This window comes from Homo sapiens, chromosome 17, assembly GCF_000001405.40.
Source record: "Homo sapiens chromosome 17, GRCh38.p14 Primary Assembly".
Lineage (NCBI taxonomy): Eukaryota > Metazoa > Chordata > Mammalia > Primates > Hominidae > Homo > Homo sapiens.
The window spans coordinates 6,341,800-6,363,288 of record NC_000017.11 but is presented as its reverse complement, the minus strand read 5'-3'; the positions used below and the strand labels follow the sequence as shown (position 1 = coordinate 6,363,288).

At 44.9% G+C, this 21,489-nt stretch overlaps 1 long non-coding RNA gene across 2 annotated transcripts in view; it reads left to right on the top strand.

Moving 5' to 3' along the window:
- LOC105371509 (uncharacterized) overlaps positions 1–20,770 on the top strand; it is a 32,601-nt gene extending 11,831 nt beyond the window's left edge. The window contains exons 1-3 of one of the 2 annotated variants that reach the window (XR_934187.2): positions 1,176–1,530; positions 8,457–8,541; positions 20,418–20,770. This is a non-coding gene — a long non-coding RNA (uncharacterized LOC105371509). Of the gene's footprint in view, positions 1–1,175; positions 1,531–8,456; positions 8,542–20,417 lie in introns of those variants that run through there. The other variant, XR_934188.3, reaches the window with a different exon arrangement.
- The last annotated feature ends 719 nt before the right edge of the window (positions 20,771–21,489 follow it).

The window sequence follows — 21,489 nt, the reverse complement described above, 5'->3', positions numbered from 1 at the left end:
TGGTCCCGATCTCCTGACCTCGTGATCCACCCGCCTTGGCCTCCCAAAGTGCTGGAATTACAGGCGTGAGCCACTGCACCCTGACCCCCCTCTCCCCCCTTTTTTTTTCTGAGACGGAGTCTCACTCTGTCACCCAGGCCGGAGTGCATTGGTGCAATTCTCCTGCCTCAGCCTCCCGAGTAGCCTGTACTACAGGTGCATGGTGCCACACCCGGCTTATTTTTTATATTTTAGTAGAGACGGGGCTTCACCGTGTTGCCCAGGCTGGTCTTGAACTCCTGAGCTCAGGCAATCTGCCCTCGTTGACCTCCCAAAGTGCTAGGATTACAGGTGTGAGCCACCCCGCCCGGCTTACATGGGGCTTTTCTTATACTTACCAAAGTGTTCTATGCATTTCTTCATATTATCAACAGTTTAAACTACTTTTACTCCAACGATGTGCCATAAGAAGATGCTCTCCAAGCCTGATATTCCCCCCTTTTTGCTTCATTCTCTTAGACAGTGGTTGTCATCCTTGGCTGCATATTAGAATCATCTGAGGAGCTTTAAAAATTCCTAGTGCCCAGGATGTACCCAGACCAATTAAATCAGAAACCCACACATCAATGCTTTTTAAGGATTCCTCAGGAGATTCTAACATGCCGCTGAGGCTGAGAACCACGGAGTAGGGCTCAAACACTCCTTTCCGTGCTGGCCATGTTGGCCAATGAAGTTTCTCACCTCTCGTGTGGCCAAGGTTATCAGATTCATCATGCCTGGATGGACTTAGCCTAACCAGGAACATCAGTTGTCTGGGGGAATCTAGTGGCAGAAAAAGAAGGAGGCAAATAAAATCATGATAAATAATACCACAGCCACACAGCCACCACTACCACCAACCTTCAGTAAACCCCAAAGTTGTGCTTGTCTGGTTGTCTCTTGTTTTTATTCATTGAAGATTTTTTTTTTTTTTTTTTGACAGAGTCTCACACTGTCGCCTGGGCTGGAGTGCAATGGCGTGATCTCAGCTCACTGCAACCTCCGCCTGCCGGGTTCAAGCCATTCTCCTGCCTCAGCCTCCCGAGTAGCTGGGATTACAGGTGCACACCACCACACCTGGCTAATTTTTTGTATTTTTAGTAGAGATGGGGTTTCACTATGTTGGCCAGGCTGGTCTCGAACTCCTGACCTCGTGATCCACCACCTCAGCCTCCCAAAGTGCATCAGAGATTTTTATCTTCACTGGGAACCGCTCTTCTTGCATCCTATGGCATTCTGGTGGGACTATCAATCTCAGTGCTTCCTGTACAACCTGGCTACAGGGCTATTTCAATTCTGCCCACAGGGATTGGGCCAAAGGATAGACATGTGACTCAGGCAGGACCAATCAGATTTCTCCCATATTGAGTTGCCGGGTAAAATACAGCCCACCCAATTAACTGAATTTTAGATAAACCACAATATTAAGTGAAGCTGCTTGTGGCCAACTTTGCTGGATATATCCATTTACAGTTGGAGAGAATGAGGGTGATCTATAAAAGGAGCTGAGATGTAAGCAGGGTGAACAGCAAACGGGTCTTGAGAACACTGTTTGAGTCTCTGACCCTGGTCAACTCTAGGTCCGGACGTCCCAATGCTATGAGCCAGTAAATTTCCTTTCCTGACTAAAGTCTTTTGAGATGAATTTGCGTTACCTACAAACGACTCCTAAAAGTGGCAGAAATTGGTACTTGGAATTGGCATTGCTGAGCTGAAGAGGAATGAGGCACAGGGGAATACCTCAGTTTGTAGCTGGGAAGCCCTTGTTATCAGTAGCTATGCAGCTGGTTAAATTGTTACTGTGTGCTTACTGAGGATGGCACTTCAGGGGATTGGTAGATATTTCGGGGATATTAGAGTATGTTGGCTACTCCTTATGGCCTCTTGGGAGGGCATAAATGTAGTCCACAATAAACATGGTCTAAGCAGCTCATCTGGAAAACAGAGAGGAAGGAGCAAGCAGTGTTGACAGAAGAACCCTCCCTTCCCCTTTCTTTAGACTAAGTCTTGATGGGATAAGCCATGTGCCTTGCAGAATTGCAAAAGTAGAATTTCCTGCTTCTGGCTAAGATAGGAAGGCAGAAAATAACATAACAGAGCAATAAGATTGGATAGGGAGGAGCCAAAGGAATAGAGGAAGCTGATCCCCCAGTTCCTAAGCAACTCTTCAAGCACCCTCCTGTCTTCTGGAGGAAATGATACCTTCATTATAAAGTGCATCCCTGGGATATAACCTTGAGGCAGAGGGCAGACAAAATCTGCCTTAGAACAATTTTTTCGGACTACTTTCCTCCAAGCTTACAAGCTGTTGTTCAACATTCTAGTTCTAGCCTATTTTTAAAATTCCAGTGAATTTGACATTATGATATATTGTTTTGTACAGTCATTGCTTAGACTTTGCCAGTTATTTTACAATATTTATCTCATTATTCTACCTTCCATTTTAGACCTTTCATTTGGGACCATTTCTCTTCTGTGTGAAGCATAAGCTTTAGAATTTCCTTTAGTGGGCATCCTATACTAGTAAATTATCCGTTTTTATTGTCTCAAAATGTCTTTTAAAATCCTCATTATTGAAAGAAAAGTTTCTGGATATAGAATTTTACGTCTACAGTACTTTCAACACGAAGATAATCTTCATGTTTTCTCTCTTCCATTGTAGTGTTTGAGAGGTTGGTTGTAATCTTAATTGTGGTCTTCTTTTTCTTTGATATTTTGCAATTTCACTGTAATGTACCTAGTATAGAGATTTAAAAAAATATTATTCTGCCTGGAATTCACAGGTTTTCCCTAAACTGAGAATTGGTGTTTTTCAACAGTTCTGGAAAATTCTCAGCTATTGTCTCTTCCTGTATTGCCACTTTCTCATTCTCTTTGTTATTTTCTTTTGGAACTCTGATGATCATTATATTAGACCTTCTTGACATATTTCCTTTGTTTAATCCCTCTTCCATAGTTCCATCTTTTTATTCTATGGGCTGCACCTAGATCATTTATTCAGATCTTTTAGTTTACCATTTCTCTCTTCACAGGTGTTTAATCTGCTAGCTGATATGTTTAGTGAATTTAATTTTTTTTTTTTGAGACAGAGTTTCGCTTTTTTTGCCCAGGCTGGAGTGCAATGGTATGATCTTGGCTCACGTCAACCTCCACCTTCTGGGTTCAAGCGATTTTCCTGCCTCAGCCTCCTGAGTAGCTGTGATTACAGGCATGTGCCACCACATCCGGCTAATTTTTTTGTATTTTTAGTAGAGACCGGATTTTTCCATGTCGGTCAGGCTGGTCTCAAACTCCCAACCTCAGGTGATCCACCCACCTCGGCCTCCCAAAGTGCTGGGATTACAGGTGTGAGCCACCGTGCCTGGCCTTTAATTATTATTATTGTATTTTATTTCTATTTAGCTTAACTTCCATTTTTTCCTGTGTCTATTTATGTGTATGTTATATTCTATACCGAAAAATTCCAATGTCTAAAGTTCTTGCGAATCTTTTTTTTCTCTGAAGGTTTTTACGCATGATACTTTATTTCCTCATATGTTTTTATGTTTTGTGATTTTGGGCTGTAAGCTGCTTATTGTCCTTGGGACTTTATTTGTGAGGATTCTTGGGGACTTCTTTGAGGTTGAGTTTCTCCAGAGAGGATTTTTATTTGCTTCTGAAGTGCCCAGGGGCACTGCCTGAAGTTTTTTGGATCTCACAACTAGTATAATTTTGGATCTCAAAGTTATGTAAGAAGTGGCCTGTGTTTACAATGTTTTCCCCCTCCAACCCATGCCAGAGTGCATTGGTTAAGTTTCCTTGTTGCCTCTTTGTGGCGATCCAGGTTTACTACTTCTTTTTTTTTTTTTTTTTTTTTTTTTTAATTGAGATGGAGTCTTGCTCTATCACCCAGGCTGGAGTGCAGTGGTGCGATCTCGGCTCACTGCCAACCTCTGCCGCCCGGGTTCAAGCGATTCTGCTGCCTCAGCCTCTGGAATATCTGGGATTACAAGTGCATGACACCACACCTGGCTAATTCTTTTGTATTTTTAGTAGAGATGTGGGTTGTGCCATGTTGACCAGACTGGTCTCGAACTTGTGACCTCAGGTGATCTGCCCGCTCTGGCCTCCCAAAGTTCTGGGATTACAGGTGTGAGCCACTGCTCCCAGCCCAGGTTTACTTTTTATTCACTTTTAGAGTCTGGCCTCTGTGAACCTCAACGTTATGCAGGGATTTCACATTAGATCGCCAGCCTTGGGCTATGACTGGCTTTGGTTTCCTGTCCCCTACACCTCAGATAGTCATCAGAGAAGAACCTCAGCGTTTCCGGAGGTTAGCAGAAGCCTTCAGGGAGAAAGCAGACTTTGGCACTCATTTTCCTTCCAGACTTCTTATTTCACTTTGTTTTAGGGCTTTGCAGAGTTCTGACTTTCGTGCCAACTCAGTAATGCATTTCAATAGATTTTAAAAAATATTTTATTTAACCATTTAGTAGTTTCACCTGGGAAGGTCCTTCAGGGCAATCAAATCTACCCTGCTGTTGGAAACGAGCCATTATGTTATTCTTTATAACTCAAGTTAATTTCTTATTAAAACCATCATCAACTTTATCTCCGTTGATTTACCTCTTTTGCCCCTGCTCTGGGTAGGTGGGAAGGGCTTTATGGTGCCCAGGCATAGGTGTGGGAGCAGGGTGTGTCTGATCCCAATATCATATTCCCATGTGGGCATAGGTGGAGATGGTTCACCTGAATGATGACTGAGCCATCCATCCGGCCTTAAGACATCTTCAGGTCTGTTGGCTCTTACCAGCAGTCCTGTGTCATTGTTGGGGGTTGTATAAATACCCCACTAGGGCCCAGATCATCATGTCCTTCTGTGAATTAAAAAGAAATGCTTGTTCCTGCAGGGCAGGGTGGGCAGCAGGAATGGAGTTGGGGGCTCTCCTCCAGTGACTCTGATACAGGGCCTGGCCTGGACCACCAGGCTTCTGGGGAACGGAGTGGATAAGGCAGTCTTGGCTCTTGGGCTGCAGCTGAGCTGAGATAGGTCTAAAGGGGTTGAATGGCTTTGACCCAAGGGTACAGGAACCTGGTAAGTGAGTAGATCTACAGGGTCAGAGAGCCCATCCATGGCATGGGGTGAGAGAGAGCAGCCGTACAGGAGAATCAGGCTTTACTGGCTCAGGAAAGTAGGTACAGTGTTTGCATTAACTGATGATTTCCATAGCCCAGAAGATTTCCTTTTGTTAGTCTCTGGGCCTCTTGGGAGACAGACCTGGGGATTCAAACTTAAGGTGGCCTCATTCTCCCCCAGTCCTCTCTCCACGTCTTTCCCCTTCCCTCCGACTTTTCTTGCTACCTTCCTGTTTCTTAAAGCATCCATTATGTTTTTATTTGAAAAATAATGTTCATTTTTCTTTTATTTAACAAAGTAATATATGTTTGTGATAGAAAAATTAGGAAAATGTACGAACGTGCAGGGAGGTAATTAATGTTTATCCACAGTTTTGTCTACTATTACTTATAACCATTATTTATATTTTGCTATACATATTTATATATTTGTCATATATAAAACAGGAAATACATAATTCAGTAATTTATATTGTAGAATTTTGAGGATATTCTGTGGCATTTGTTTTTACAGACTTCTTTGTGCCCTTAATGATGTATTATGATGAATTTTATTGCTTTAAGCATTCTTTGAAAAGATTATTTTTAATGGCTCATAGATTCCATTTTATAGATGGAATATCAAGTATTCAATCAAGTGTTATGCATTGGTATGTTTTCTGATTTCTCAGTTTTATAAGTTACTCTTTAATGAACACACTTATGTATACATTTTTGTGTGTACCTGATTTTTTCCTATATGTATATTGCTGTAAATGAAATTGCTGGTTAATTTTTTTAGGTTTTTGATAATCATATAGAGGTGTACTACAATAATGTGATATATATGTATATACATGTCATATAAAATGCTAAAAAATATTGTGTCCTGCAAAACTGCGCACTAAAAATAACATGACTTAGGGAAAAATATGTTTGAGTCAGATCACTCAAAATTTATTTTATGTTGTAACCACAACACTAACACAAAATAACAAGCCTCATAAAAATGCTATTTAAAAATTAATTAGATTTCTAATAAATAGAGTAACAATTACCTTACATATTGGACTTTTAAAAGTTGTTTGATGGAAAGGGCTGTAAAGAAGAATTGGAGATGAGATGCTGAGTTATGGAGACAAGGACAAAATGCATATAGATAGTGAATTATCAGATAATAAGCACTTTCGTGGCAGAACAAGTGGCCATATCTAGCCAAAGGAAGAATGTGAGGGAACGGGCAGCATGAACTGCGTCCCCCTGGGGCTACTCATGCTCAGCTGTTGGGGTGGGCATTGAGTTTAGCTGCTGGTACTTCGTGGTTTAAAACACAACCTTCTGGGAAGAATTGCACAGGGACCAAGGCATGGGTTCTACTGACATCCTTAACTTTCTGCAAATCACGTATGACCTCATTCTCATGACAGAAGCATATGCTGTCACAAACAGACTGTATTGCAAAATTGCTGTCCAGAGAGGCTGTTTTTATATACTTCCACTATTAGTGTATACAAATCCTTAATTGGACACTACCAAACAGAGTATTTAAGGCCTTTAAAATTTTGCCAGTTTGATAGATTAAACATGGACTCTCAATTTAAAGTGTGCATTTTTTAATTACCAAGGAAGATGACTATTTCCTTTTTCTTTTCTTTTCTTTTTTTCTTTTTTGAGACAGAGTCTCACCCTGTCACCCAGGCTGGAGTGCAATGGCGCGATCTTGGCTCACTGCAACCTCCGCCTCCTGGGTTCAAATGATTCTCCTGCCTCAGCCTCCTCAGTAGCTGGGAGGTGACTGCCACCACACCAGGCTATTTTTTTGTCTTTTTAGTAGAGACACGATTTCACCATGTTGGCCAGGCTGGTCTTGAATTCCTGACCTCGTGATCTGCCTGCCTCGGCCTCCCAAAGTGCTAGGATTATGGGTGTGAGCCACCGTGCCTGGCCCGGAAGATGACTATTTCTTATATATGTTTTAGCTAATGATATATCCCTTGTGAGTTGTTGGGGTCTGTCTGTTGCCCATATTTTTATTAGAGTGTTAGTGCTTTTCTTATTGATTTTTTAATATGTGAAGGTTATTAATCCTTTGGCATAATTATGTCAATTTTTTTTAGCTTGTCACTCACCTTTCAGTTTTGCTTATGATTCTCTTGAGGTACAGAAGTTTGAAAATGTTCTCATCAGATCTGTAGGTCTTCTTCTTTACTATTTTACCCATTGCTTTGTGCTTGGAAAATTTTTCCCTACACAGCAATCAGTTAAATATTGACACATATTATCTTCCAGATTGTTTGTTTCTTTTTTTACATTTAATTGTTTTAATTAGCCAATAATTTATTTTGACATATAGTGTGATGTAATGATCTAATAATTTATTTTTCTCCTACTTCAATTTCCCTTAAGTTTCTGATACTTCCAATATTATATATTTATCTCTTATTATGAATTAAGCCCATTTAAGGGTGAGGCAACATATTTCATTGATTTGTATGCCAGTATTTTCCTTAGAGTCCTTCTATTTTAGTTATTGTAGTTTTTTTTTCTAATAAGTCAAGAGCTTTATTGATGCAGCAGGCACTTTACAATGAGACCCAGAATGTCTGTCTCCTCTGGGAAGATGAGATGTCTGTACAAACCCTTAGGTTCTTTTCCACTTCAAAATACAAGCTCTCCCTTTTACCACAGTCCTTGGATCTGCACCTGCCCAAACCATCCCATCACCAGCGCACACAGGTGCACCAGACCAATGCCAGGCAGGCAGCCACTCTGGTACAGTCTAAATGCCAGTTTTGCGGTACTTGTAGACAAGGGCGTAGACTGTCAGATCCTGCACAGCATTTAGTAAACAGACAATTTTTCCCTCCACCTTGAAAATAAAATACATTTCAGCAGATCACATGTCCTGAAATAGTGTAGTTGGGAGTTCCTAGGAAGAGGGTCCATTGTCCAGCCCTTCTTCACCAGCCTGGGCATCAGAATTCTTCTCAAGGTAACATGAGGCTTTTTATGTATTTATTTATTTTGTATTCTTTTTTAAAATTTTACTTTAAGTTCTGGGATACATGTGCTAAACGTGCAGGTTTGTTACATAGGTATACATGTGCCATGGTGGTTTGCTGCACCCATCAACCTGTCATCTAGGTTTTAAGCCCTGCATGCATTAGGTATTTGTCCTAATGCTCCCCCTCCCCTTAACCCCTACCCCTCGACAGGCCCCGGAGTGTGATGTTCCCCTCCCTGTGTCCATGTGTTCTCATTGTTCAACTCTCACTTATGAGTGAGAACTATTTTTTTTCCCCAAAGTTTTCTTAGTTAAGAATTTCACCTGTGTCTTCTTCCAGATCAACTGACGTTTATCTACAAGGATTTTTATCAGGGTTGTTTGAAACCAGGGGTCAGCAAAATTGTTTCGTGACCAGTCAAGTAGTAAGTATGTTGCTTTCTGAGCAACAAATAATCTCTATCTTTTTTCTCTCCTCTGCCTCCTCCTTGTTCTCCATTCCCTCTTCCTTCTTGTTTCTTTTCTTTTGTTTACACACAAATATAAAATATAAAAACCATTCTTGGCCGGGAGCAGTGGCTTATGCCTGTAATCCTAGCACTTTGGGAGGCTGAGGCGGGCAGATCACCTGAGGTCAGGAGTTCGAGACCAGCCTGGCCAACATGGTGAAACCCCATCTCTACTAAAAATACAAAATTATCCAGGTGTGGTGGCGGGCGCCTGTAGTCCCAGTTATTCAGGAGGTTGAGGCAGGAGAATTGCTTGAACCTGGGAGGTGGAGGTTGGAGTGAGCCAAGACTGTGGCACTGCACTCCAGCCTAGGTGATAGAGTGAGACTCCGTCTCAAAACAAAAACAAACAAACAAAAAACAACAACAACAACAAAACAGTCCCTATTTCCAAATAAGGTCACATTCTGAGGTACTGGTGGTAATAACTTCACCATATCTCTTTTTGGAAAGCCACAATTTAACTCATAACACAAATAAATTAATTTGAAAAAGTACAATATAAATCTTTTCAATATTTAATATTTCCATCTAAACATTACATATGTATTCAATATTAATTTTATAACATTAAACCTTTCAGACAAACCTCAAAGAATACCAACTTATGTATTCATATGATTTTAAATTTGTCTTGCCACTATTTATGCAGGAATTTATGTCTGCATTTTAAAGTGAACTCGGTTTTTAGTTTTCTTTTTATGGTATATAAGTGTTATCAAGACCATCCTTCCTCGATAGAATGAAGAGCTTAGCTTTCTGTATTTGTCTATACATAAGAACAGTTTATTTGGAATGGGAATTAATGCTTCCTGGAAAGCCTGAAAGAAGTTACCAGTAAAACCATCAGGCCCTGTAACCTTTTTCTTTTTTAGATAATTTTTTGATAACTCTATATTTCCTCCATTGTTACTTCTGCCTCTCTCTAAGTGCACAGAATCATCTGAGCACCTGACTCAGAGGTCATGAAATGCTTTCCTTCACCTGGATGCATGAAAAGTAGACAGGTACTGCTGACTCTGAACTGAAGATCAAGCTGATGGGCTCTGACTATGGGAGGTTTCTTCAGCAGAATAAATTCACTGATGCAAGTTTCAGGAGTTTGTCTGCAAGGGCATTGGGCTATCTGTTGATGACCTGGGTATGTCTGTATGCATTGGAGTAAGTGTGCAGTGACCAGAAAGAGCGTGCATGGAAAAGTGAGTGTGTTTATTCTGCCAAGGGATGGTGCCATTAACAATCACCAAGGCAGCAAAGTAGGTTTGCAGCCAATGGCTGCTGACGTTAGTCACCTTCTTAGCCTTCACAACCCACTAACTCAGGCAGCTGTCTTTCCAGTCCATCCTAGCACACTCAGGGGTCACCTGTCTTGACACTACTCCTCACCATGTTTCCACATTCCCCACAAGGCAGGGAGCACACCTGCTCCCATTGGGCACCCACAGGCAATACCGTGTGCAGCAGCCCATTAGAGTATCAGTTTTCTGGCTATTCTTTGGAGCTGCTGGATCCAATATGTTTCCCCATATGCTTGAACCTTTTTGCAATTCTTCCATCTGTTTCTGGGAAATGTGAAGGAATTTAATGATCTTTTCTGGGGTTATTAAACCGACAGCTGTTGTCATTAATAGAGGACATTCTTTACTGCAGCGAATAAATGCTAGTCATAACTCCAGCCTGTCTTATGCACTCTCATTAATGACTACAGAGTTTGTCTCAAGACTGGGGTGATGAACATGGGGGGTTCTGATGCCAGCTTTGGAGATGATTCATCTTCAAAGTGTGAACACCCTCACTTCTTTTTTGTACTCTGGGCAGCTTTCGAGGCAAAATGTATAACTGGTAAAAAACAAAATCCAATCCAACAGCCGTTGGCTTTCTTTGAAAATGAAGGAGCTTGGGTGTTAAAAAGGAAAGATTACTTTTTACTGTATGTTTCAAATTATGGTTCATTTTCTAGTAGAATGTTAGAGGCAGAGAAACTAACTTTTATGGCTTGAATTGGAGGTTTTCTACACTGTTGTAGATTAGAAACAGAGTTTCTAAGGTTTCTAAGGTTTCTGTTTCTAACTTAGAAACAGAGTTTCTAAGTTCTAAGTTGCCAGGTTGTGCTCACACAGAAAAACAACAGGGAAAAGAGACTAGACAGTAGAGGCCCTGACCCGGCCTCCACCTGCCCCATGGACAGAGTGGGTTTTGCTGACTAGTAGCCTTAAGGATTGATCTTTGGGGTTCAGATAGCCTGATAAGGCCACAGAGCAGAAGGGTGGGGGAATTTGTTATCTTACCAGGGAGTGATTTCAAGATGCATGAACTGGGGCAGGTGAGGAATCTGGAGACAGCAAAACTTGGTCATCCTGGCAGTCGCCTACAAGTCTGCCCTGGCAGCAGGTTCTCCAGGCTGGCTTCTGACAGAGCTGGGTCAGGCAAAACCATGTTGAGGCCCCATTTTTATGAGAAATTGGGGTGCATGGCCAGACATGGTGGCTCATGCCTATAATCCCAGCACTTTGGGAGGCTGAGGTGGAGGGAATGCTTGAGGCCAGGAGTTTGAGACCAGCCTGGGCAACATAGTGAGACCCCGGGAGCTACTTGGGAGGGTGAGGTGGGAGGATCTCTTGAACCCGGAAGTTTGAGGCTGGAGTGAACTATGATCAGGCCACTGCACTCCAGCCTGAGTGACAGATTGAGACTCTATCTCTAAAAAAATAGTTGGGGTACAAATGGCCAGTGATCAGAGAAAGAACCAAAAAGGCCACCCGTATAAACTTGATGGCCCTTAGCAACTTGGGTCCCAAGTACTATTCTTCATCATCTGCCATTCAAACCTATTGAGAGTCCTGTGTTGCAGAGATGGGGGCTTAGCAATTTCCTCTGGATACTGGATTAGGCCAACTGGGGGGATATGGGGTGTATGTCAGGAGGCCTGACAGCTTAGATACCTGGATCTCTATCTACTTTAGTGCTTCTTGCTTAGGGAATGAAGATCAGAACCCATGGCAGCAAGCTAAGGGTGCCCAGCAGTTGTGGATCTGGGAATGAAAGAGGCAGGGGAGAAAGGGGATGTCTGGCACCACAGGGTCACTGCTATCCTCTTTGTCTAGTCATAAGCGTTTCCTCTGAAACTTTATCCATCCACCCATTCTTTTTTTTTTTTTTGATATGGAGTCTTGCTCTGTCGACCAGGCTGGAGTGCAGTGGTGTGATCTCGGCTCACTGCAAGCTGTGCCTCCCGGGTTCACGCCATTCTCCTGCCTCAGCCCCCCAAGTAGCTGGGACTACAGGTGCCTGCCACCACGCCTGGATAATTTTTTGTATTTTTAGTAGAGACGAGGTTTCACCATGTTAGCCAGGATGGTCTCGATCTCCTGACCTCGTGATCTGCCCGCCTCAGCCTCCCAAAGTGCTGGGATTACAGGAGTGGGCCATCGTGCCTGGCCCATCCACCCATTCAAAAATCCTTCCCGAGTACCTGCATATAGTGGACATCGTGCTGCAATGTGGAACCTAAAGGGCTCCAAGGCCCTGCCCCTGAGGAGCTTGCAGTCTAGTGGGGAGATAGCCACATGGCACCATCGTGTGATGGCTACCAAAGGGGGCACACACAAGGTCCTGCAGGGCACAGGAGAGGGGCACTAATTCTAGTCTTGGTGTGGGTAGGGGAAGATTCTGGAGGAAGTAACATCTCAGCTGAGGGCTAAAAAACAAGCAAGTTTCAGCCAGTACAGAGAGGGTAAAGAAAATTCTAACCAGCAGGGACAGCAGTGCAAAGGTCCCACAGCGAGCGAGAGGCTGGAGCTGGGATGTAGCAGGAGAGGTGAAAGAAGTAAGAGATGAGGTCAGGCATGGTGGCTCACACCTGTAATCCCAGCACTTTGGGAGGCCAAGATGGGTGGATCAGCTGAGGTTGGGAGTTCGAGACCAGCCTAGCCAACATGCTGAAACCCCGTCTCTACTAAAAATACAAAAAGTTAGCTAGGCATGGTGGCATGCAGCTGTATTCCCAGCTACTTGGGAGGCAGAGGCAGGAGAATCGCTTGAACCCAGGAAGCAGAGGTTGCAGTGAACCACGCCTCTGTGCTCCAGCCTGGGCAACAGAGTGAGACTCTGTCTCAAAAGGCGGTGGCCCACACCTGTAATCTCAGCACTTTGGGAGGCCGAGGCAGGTGGATCGGCTCAGGTTGGGCGTTCAAAACCATCTTGGCCAACATGGTGAAAGCCCATCTCTACTAAAAATACAAAAATTAGACGGGCATGGTGGCAGGCGCCTATAGTTCTAGCTACCCAGGAGGCTGAGGCAGGAGAATCGCTGGAACCCGGGAGGCAGAGGCTGCAGTGAGCCAAGATCGTGCCACTGCACTCCAGCCTGGGTGACAGAGCAAGACTCTGTCTCAAAAAACAAATAAAAAAAAGATGAGGTCATGCTTGGTGGCTCATGCCTGTAATCCTAGCATTTTGGGAGGCTGAGGCAGATGGATTAGCTGGGGTCGGGAGTTCAAGACCAGCCTTATCAACATGGTGAAACACTGTCTCTACTAAAAATACAAAAAATTAGCCAGGTGTGGTGGTGCATGCCTGTAGTCCAAGCTACTTTGGAGGCTGAGGCAGAAGAATAGCTTGAATACGGGAGACGGAGGTTGCAATGAACCGAGATCACGCCACTGAACTCCAGCCTGGGTGACAGAGTGAGACTCCGTCTCAAAAAACAAAAAAACAGAAACAAAAACAAAAACAAACAACAACAACAAAAGTGACTGGGGGCGGTGGCCCACGCCTGTAATTCCAGCACTTTGGGAGGCTGAGGCAGGTGGATCAGCTGAGGTCATGAGTTCGAGACCAACCTGGCCAACATGGCGAAATCCCGTTTCTACTAAAAACACAAAATTTAGCCAGGCATGATGGCATGCGCCTGTAGTCCCAGCTACCCAGGAGGCTGAGGCAGGAGAATCGCTTGAACCCAGGAGGCAGAGGTTGCAGTGAGCCGTGCCACTGTGCTGCAGCCTGGGTGACAGAGCAAGACTCCATCTCAAAAAAAGAAAAAAGAAGTAAGAGATGAGGCTGCAGAGGGAGGTATGGGAGATCAGTTCTTGGGCACACTCTATGGTTGATTAAATATTCCCTGACTTTCCCAGGCTTGCAGGTTATGTTTATGCAGCCATGTTTATAACGGCCTCACTGATGCATTTGCTGAGATTTTCCCACCGTCTTTACGCTCCACTCCATACACCAATTAAAATAGAAAATTCAGCAAAGTGAAAGATAAATGGCTGTGTGGTATTTGCCCAGGAACTTGGTGCTCTGCTAAGAGCTTTAATAACCACATAGTCTCCATATCTTCTTCTCGTAGGGGACAAAGAAAGAAAAAATCTCTTGGGCGTGGCTGCATTTGCTGGCATCAGGGATAGAGAGAAATGCCAGCACTCCCTGGGGTAGATAATTTAGGGGAGTCCTCTGCATCTGTCCTGTGGTCTTTCACAGCTCATGTTTTCTCGGAACGATGGACGCACAATGACGTCCTCAGATGGTTTCTCAGGCAAGTTTCCAGTGAACATGACTTTGTCCCATTCATTTGTAACTGGGCAGAAGCTGGGTCCCAGATTCTTCCTGGTGGAGGCATTCGGAGAGCAACACCCTGGCCTTAACACACTACATATCTTTGAATTTCACACGGGGGCAGCCTTCTGGGAAAACCACTGACAGATTTCTCATGGAGGAGTCAGCTGGGGTTGGGAAGAGTTGAGCGCTCATGATCCTCTCGTGGGAAATACAACATTAAATAAAATATTTCTCAAATCCTAGCAATGCTTGGCTCTTCTTTTGAAATGAAAATACTTTCAAAGAACTTCTCCCTCTTTGTTGACACAACTAATTTCTATTATAATGCTATTTAAATATGTACCAACATGCAAGCTGGAGTAAAATCTTTCTGCTGATGGCTCTCCTATGACCATAAAAGCAAAACAAATGGACAAATTATAGAACGGCAAACAACGAAATCAATAAAATTCAAATTAACAACATAAATTTAATGGGATATCGTTTTACCAAACTTAAATCAAGGCTCTCCCTGTGAGCATAGGGTTGACATTGGAGCATGGATCTTGGGAGCCTGGCAGGGGGAGGAGCTGTGCCCGACTCTCCTCTGGTGTAATGACCATGGGAAGCATGTCCATCTACAGAGCATGCGCATTGCAGTTCTTTTCTTCTTAGCTTGCCACAATTAAAGAAAACAATGGAACCAAATGTGGTCCTTGAAATCCTGGAGCAGTATTTTTTAACACACACACACACACACACACACACACACACACACAGGTGCATGTATACCCCAAGTACTCAGGAGAGCATAAAGGCTACTGTGAAAGAGGCACATCCTGGCATTATCGGACTAAAGGGGCAAACCAGATTCACACATGGAATGATCATGTCGTCAGGACTAAATCTCATGCCCCTTGATCCTAGCTGCTCACATACCCATGGTCTGAGAAAGGAGAGGTCAGAGAGACATGAACAGTCAAGGAGCCACAGGGGACATCAGCTTTGCAAGACATGTAGGGTGTAGCATATGGGAGGAAAGATGGCTGGGGAGGGCAGGTCGTTGGGGATGATCTTGGTAAAGACCAGCCTCGGTTGAGAACGCAAGCTCTTCTAGGCCTGATCAGGTCCAGGATGATGCCCCTCCCATCCGGGGCTCATGCTCTGACCCTGGCTTTAGGAGAGCTGGGGAGAGCAAGCTGCCAAGAGTGGCACCTGCCTGGCCCCACTCCCACTTTGATGTTCTCACTCACCTCCTGGGCCCTTCATCCAGTGCACAATGGAGTGACTTTTAGACCAGGCTGCCCCTCAGGGAAGGTAAATCCTAAGAGAGTAGTTACACCAGTAGCATCAAAGCTGAAAAACAGAGTTTATTGAATCAAAAAACATTTGCTGAGTCCCTGTATGAGGTTCTGGGTGGGAAACGATATCAAGGAATTCAATGAGGAAGATAAATCAGGAGTACAGATCATTGTAGCACAAGATAAAAACATGAATGTGCTGTATGAGAGGGAGGGAGGGTATCCCCAGCTAGGGTAGTGGTAGAATCTTGGCAGCCTTCTACAAGGAGGTGGTCTCTGCGGGGAGACTGCAAGAAATTCTGAGAAGATGAGGGCTGGTGGCCCGGGAAAGAGAGGCCAGGGTATGGAAGGGCACAGTGGGAGATGAAGCTGGACATGGAAGACATGGAAAGCCAGGCAGAGGAATTGGGAATGTCTTCAGGTTTCTTTACAGGGATGGCTCCAAACCCCATCTGATCAGCAAGTTGATTCCATCCCTCTGGAGGGAACATGGGAGCAGGACTGAAAAAGAAGACTTAGAAGATGATGGCAACTGTCTAAGAGAGAGAAGACAATGTCTTGGACCAAGAAGGTGGCAGCGGGAATGGAGGGAAGGGGCACAGAGTGACTGCCCCCATGACAGGCTTTCTCTAGTCCACTTGAGGAGTGCATGCAGAACTTTGTACTCCACTGGCCCTCAGCTCCTGGAGAAGTCCCCCAGAAGCAGGGTTTTCTTGCAGGGGGCTGGTGCTTGGAGAACATCCATGACAATCTCCATCTGCACCTCCAACTCCATGTCCTATCCCCTAGAAATTCTGATACATGCTGCTCGCTTGCAGTTCCAGCCCTAGATTGCTATTGTCTAATGGGCCTATCCTGTCTGACATTGACCTGGAGGTCGCCTTTGGCCAAAGAGTTAACTGAGATTGACCTAAGCCTTGAATCCATAACATGAAACAGTTTACAGTTACCATACTCATCTGCATACTCAACTACAGGTAATATTCCACGAGGTATGCTGTCAATTGCGGATCCAGCAAGAATCAGGAATTAGGGGGACTAATTCCTGAGAAAGAGAGCTGTTTGGGTCTATCTCAGGCATCCTCCTCCTGGTGTCCTGCCCCAGGCTGTGCTAGGAAGACCAGTTGGCAACAGGCACTGCGGCAGCTTGGGCACTGCGTGCATCAGAGCCTGGCCACACCGTACTGTTGCCTATGTTCTCTGTCTCTCCACCTTCACCAGGAGCTGTCTGAGACTGGAGACAGCCACATGTATCTTGATGGGCTGCTGCCAGCACCTGGCACAGAGCGAATGTCCAGTAAATGTGTGCTGAGTTGAATCAAACTGAAATTCTTTGTATGTGGGTGATGGCTTCCAGCTTAGGCACCAAGCAGAGAGCCTGCATATTCCATGGCTCACTGTTTTTGTTTTGGGCAGGCAGCCGCCAGCTACGTCCCTCTGCCTTCCAAGCCCTCCCCTCCACATAGTCCCTGTCACTCATCTTGCCCTGGAACAACCTCTCTTTGCTTTCCTGGCACTGTAGCTGTCTCTGCTGTCTTGCCCTGTGCATTTCTGTTCTGGGTCTGTATTTCCATGACCTGGATTTTAGCAGTGATTGAAAGTTTCCCTCTCCAGCTTTCTCACTGAATCCACAGAAATGTGGATGCTGCCTCTTCCTACTTAGCACAGTAAACAGTCTCTTCTGGAGCAGCTGTGTGTGTGTGTGTGTGTGTGTGTGTGTGTGTGTGTGTGTGTATGTGTGTGTGTGTGTGTAGGGGAAATATTTGCTATTTAACCATGTTCTGTCCACTGCTTTCTTTGTTGCCTCTTGACTTTCTATATGAGGAGAATTTAGGTGTAGCAATCCGGAGGGAAGTGGTGCTGGGACTCCTCTTAAAGCTTTATGGCAGAGCAAATACACTTTAAAAAAAACTTATTATATCATTGAGGTGAATAAAAACATTTTCCTAAGTATGCTTTTATTGGTCGGGCGCGGTGGCTTACGTATGTAAACCCAGCACTTTGGGAGACTGAGGCAGATGGATCACCTGAGGTCAGGAGTTCAAGACCAGGCTGGTCAACATGGTGAAATCCTGTCTCCATTAAAAATACAAAAATTAGCCGGGCGTGATGGTGGGTGCCTATAATCCCAGCTACTTGGGAGGCTGAGGCAGGAGAATTGCTTGAACCCAGGAGGCAGAGGTTGCAGTGAGCTGAGATTGTGCCGTTGGACTCCAGCCTGGGTGACAAGAGCAAAGCTCTGTCTCAAAAAAAAAAAAAAAGTGCTTTTATTCAGACTTTGCCTAAGATTGAGAAAATATCAATTGTCCATCTCAAAAAATATGAATATCATTCTTGCTTTTATTTGTGGCAGAGTTGGGGGCTGCTGGTCCTTGCGGGGAGTGGCTAAACCCCCTCCTGAGACCCCTTCTTGGCTCTGCCGTGTCTGTTGATCGGGCTGCATCCAAGCAGTGTGTAATGGTCTTTGGCTTCAGGAGGCTGGACTGCTGCTGGGCATATGTTCAAAGATGGGAGGGGTTCCTTGGAATGCATTTACCCCATCCTAGCTGTATGGTCCAGAACTGCAGTTTCATTTGTACCCTCAGACCTGGCTAGGCGCTCAGGAATTTTATTTATGCTCCCATGAAACCAGGTTTTAGCCCAAGAGCTGATCTTAGAGACTAAAAACTCAATTCCCTTGAATCTGACCCCTACATAGGATCATTGATTGATTTATCCTACAAATAGTTTTTGAATATCTGTTATGTGCCGAACACCCTTCTGAGTGCCGGGGAACACAGCCAGTGAACAAAGCAGATAAAGGTCTCTGTTCTCTGGAGATAAACAAAGAAGGGGCATGAAGGAATTTTCCGGGTGAAGGTAATTTTCTGTATCTTGGTAAAGGCTTGGGTTACACGAGTAACATTTGACATCTGTCAAAGCTTCTTGAGTGGCACACTGAAGATTTGTGCATTTCACTTGACGTAAATTTTGTCTCCAAAAATACAAAGGAGTTTTATACCGATCTCGAACTTTAGTAGATGACGCACATGCCGAAAGATTTAGTGGTGAAGCATAGGGATGTCTACAGCTTACTCGGAGTGCCGGCAAAAACAAGGTGGGTTGGCCAGGCCCGCTAATCACGTCTGTAATCCCAGCACTTTGGGAAGCTGAGGCGGGCAGATCGTGAAGTCAGGAGTTCGAGACCAGCCTGGTCAACGTGGTGAAACCCTGTCTCTACTAAAAATACAAAAGAATTTAGCCGAGGATGGTGGCAGGTGCCTGTAATCCCAACTACTCAGGAGGATGAGGCAGGAGAATCACTTGAACCTGGGAGGTGGAGGTTGCAATGAGCCAAGATCGTGCCATTGCGTTCCAGCCTGGGAGACAGAGCAAGACTCTGTCTCAAAAAACAAAAACAACACAACACAACAAAAAACAAACAAACAAAAAAACCAAAATGGGTTAATGGATGGATAGAGGGTTGGATAGATGGTTAGATATGGGAAAGAGCAAATGTTGCAAAATGTTAACAATTGTAGCACCTGGGAGGTGGGTATGTGAGTGTTCATTGTACAATTGTTTGAGTTTTCCTTATGTTTGAAAAAATTAGTGATAAAATGTTAGAAAACATGAAAATAGAAATGAAATAAACATTAAGCCAAGAAAGTTGAAAGTAATCCCTACCCTAGTTGAGTATACATTCTAGTGGGAGGAGAAGGACCATATTTAGCATATTGGATGGTGATAAATAGTTTGAAGAAAAATCAAACAGGGTGGGGATGCTGGGGTGGGGCAGCTGTTATTTTAAGTGGATTGTCAGAGAAGGCCTGAAATGGCCAGGGAACAGGTCTCGTGGGTCCTGGGAGACCAGTCCAGGCAGAGGGAATCGCACCAGTGGAGACCCTGGGGCCAGGCATGCTGTTCAGTCAAGGAACAGCAGAGGCCAGCTGGGCTGAAATGGAGAGAGGGAGAGGGATGAAGCTGGAGGCCATTGGGCCTTGTAGGTCTCATGGGAGACTTCTCTTCTGAGAGAGATGGGGAGCCCGCTGAAGGGCTTTGAAGCAGAAGCATGTAAGAATGAAAGGATCAGACTTCTGTGTTTTTTTTTTGTTTTGTTTTGTTTTTTTGAGACAGAGTTTCATTCTTGTTGCCCAGGCTGGAGTGCAATGGCGCGATCTCGGCTCACTGCAACCTCTGCCTACGAGGTTCAAGCGATTCTCCTGCCTCGACCTCCCAAGTAGCTGGGATTACAGGCATGCACCACCACGCCTGGCTAATTTTGTATTTTTAGTAGAGATGGAGTTTCTCCATGTTTAGTAGAGACGGAGTTTCTCAGGCTGGTCTCGAACTTGCAACCTCAGGTGATCTGCCCACCTCGGCCTCCCAAAGTGCTGGGATTACAGGAGTGAGCCACCACGCCTGGCCTGGACTTCTGTTTTAAAAGACTCAGTCTAGCTGCTCTGTTGAGGATAGAGTGTGGGCAGGTGAGAGCCAAGGCTGAGAGGCAGTCACAAGGTCTCAGCAAAGGGCCAGGGGAGATATGACTTGGACCAGGGTGTAGTCATGGAGGTGTTCAGACATGTTTGGATTCTTGATACTGTAACCTTATCAGACCAATCTGGTTCCAATCTGGTTCAACTTTTTTTTTTTTGAGATGGAGTGTTGCTCTATTGCCCAGGCTGGAGTGCAATGGCATGATCTTGGTTCACTGCAACCTCTGCCTCCCAGGTTCAAACGATTCTCCTGCTTCAGCCTCTCAAGTAGCTGAGATTACAGGCACACACTGCCATGCCCGGCTAATTTTTTGTATTTTAGCAGAGATGGGGTTTCACCGTGCTGCCCAGCCTGGTCTCGAACTCCGAGCTTAGGCAATCTTCCCGCCTCAGCCTCCCACAGTGCTAGGAGTACAGGCGTAAGCCACTGAGCCCAGCTTGGTTCAACTTGTAAGAAACAAAGTTATGAATTGTTTTTCAGTTGCCGTGACCCTCAGGTTGAAGGTCACATAACCTGAGCATGCCCAGATGAACCAAGTGTGCAGCCAGAGGGGGAACCTAAGGGCTTGGACTGACGATCGGGGGACTGAATTAAGAAGTGGACATGGCAGGACCCAGGATCCAATCAGGTCAATCCCTAGCATCATCTCATGGAAGGATCCAATCAGATCATGCCTCCCAGCATCACTTCATTGCAAGATCCAATCAGATCATGCCTCATTACTTCATGCCTATAAAACCTGACCCAGCCCTCTGTTTAGGAGGCACTGTTTTAGGAATTATCCCCTGTGGTCCCCTTACTTGCTGCAAGTAATAAAATCCCCTTGTTAAGTCCTTCTTTGTTGTGGTTATTGGGCTGGCACCCACGAAGAGACTGAACCCATCCATTGGGCATGTAGCAGTACATTTTCAAGGCGTAACCAACAGGATTTGTGTGTAGTGTGGACGTGAGGAGGGACTGGGCATGGTTCACAGTCTGGTTCTGGGCTGTTTCCTCTAAAGTCTTTTCACTGCACTCTAAACAATCACCACATCAACCTTTGAAGCATGGGAAAGGCTTTTGGAGAATGGGTTTAAGATCAACGACGTCTGCCCTATGAAACATCCTCCTCCCAGCTATGCTTGTTTCCTGCTTTCTGGGGCTGGGGGTGAAGAATCTGAGTCACTGGGATCCCAAGGCAGGGACAAGTTCTGCCATGTGTCTGAGTGAAATGGGCCAGGATATAGGCCAACCACCAGCTGGTGGAGCTCATGGGTCAGGCTGTCCACTGGCTCTGACCACCGTGATGACCACCCGGAGTTCTGGCACCATCGAACTTGGAAGCAGAATGTATTTGGCTGTGAAGGATGGCCACAGTGAAGCAAAGCTCCCTGGTGAGGCCTGTTGAATTTACAACTCTCCTCTTTGTGATGGGGCCAGACTTCCCAGTTCAAATTAGACCCAGGATGTTCTGTTAAAAAGAGGAACAGGCCAGGTGCCGTGGCTCACGCCTGTAGTCCCAGCACTTTGGGAGGCCGAGGTGGGTGGATCACGAGGTCAGAAGATTGAGACC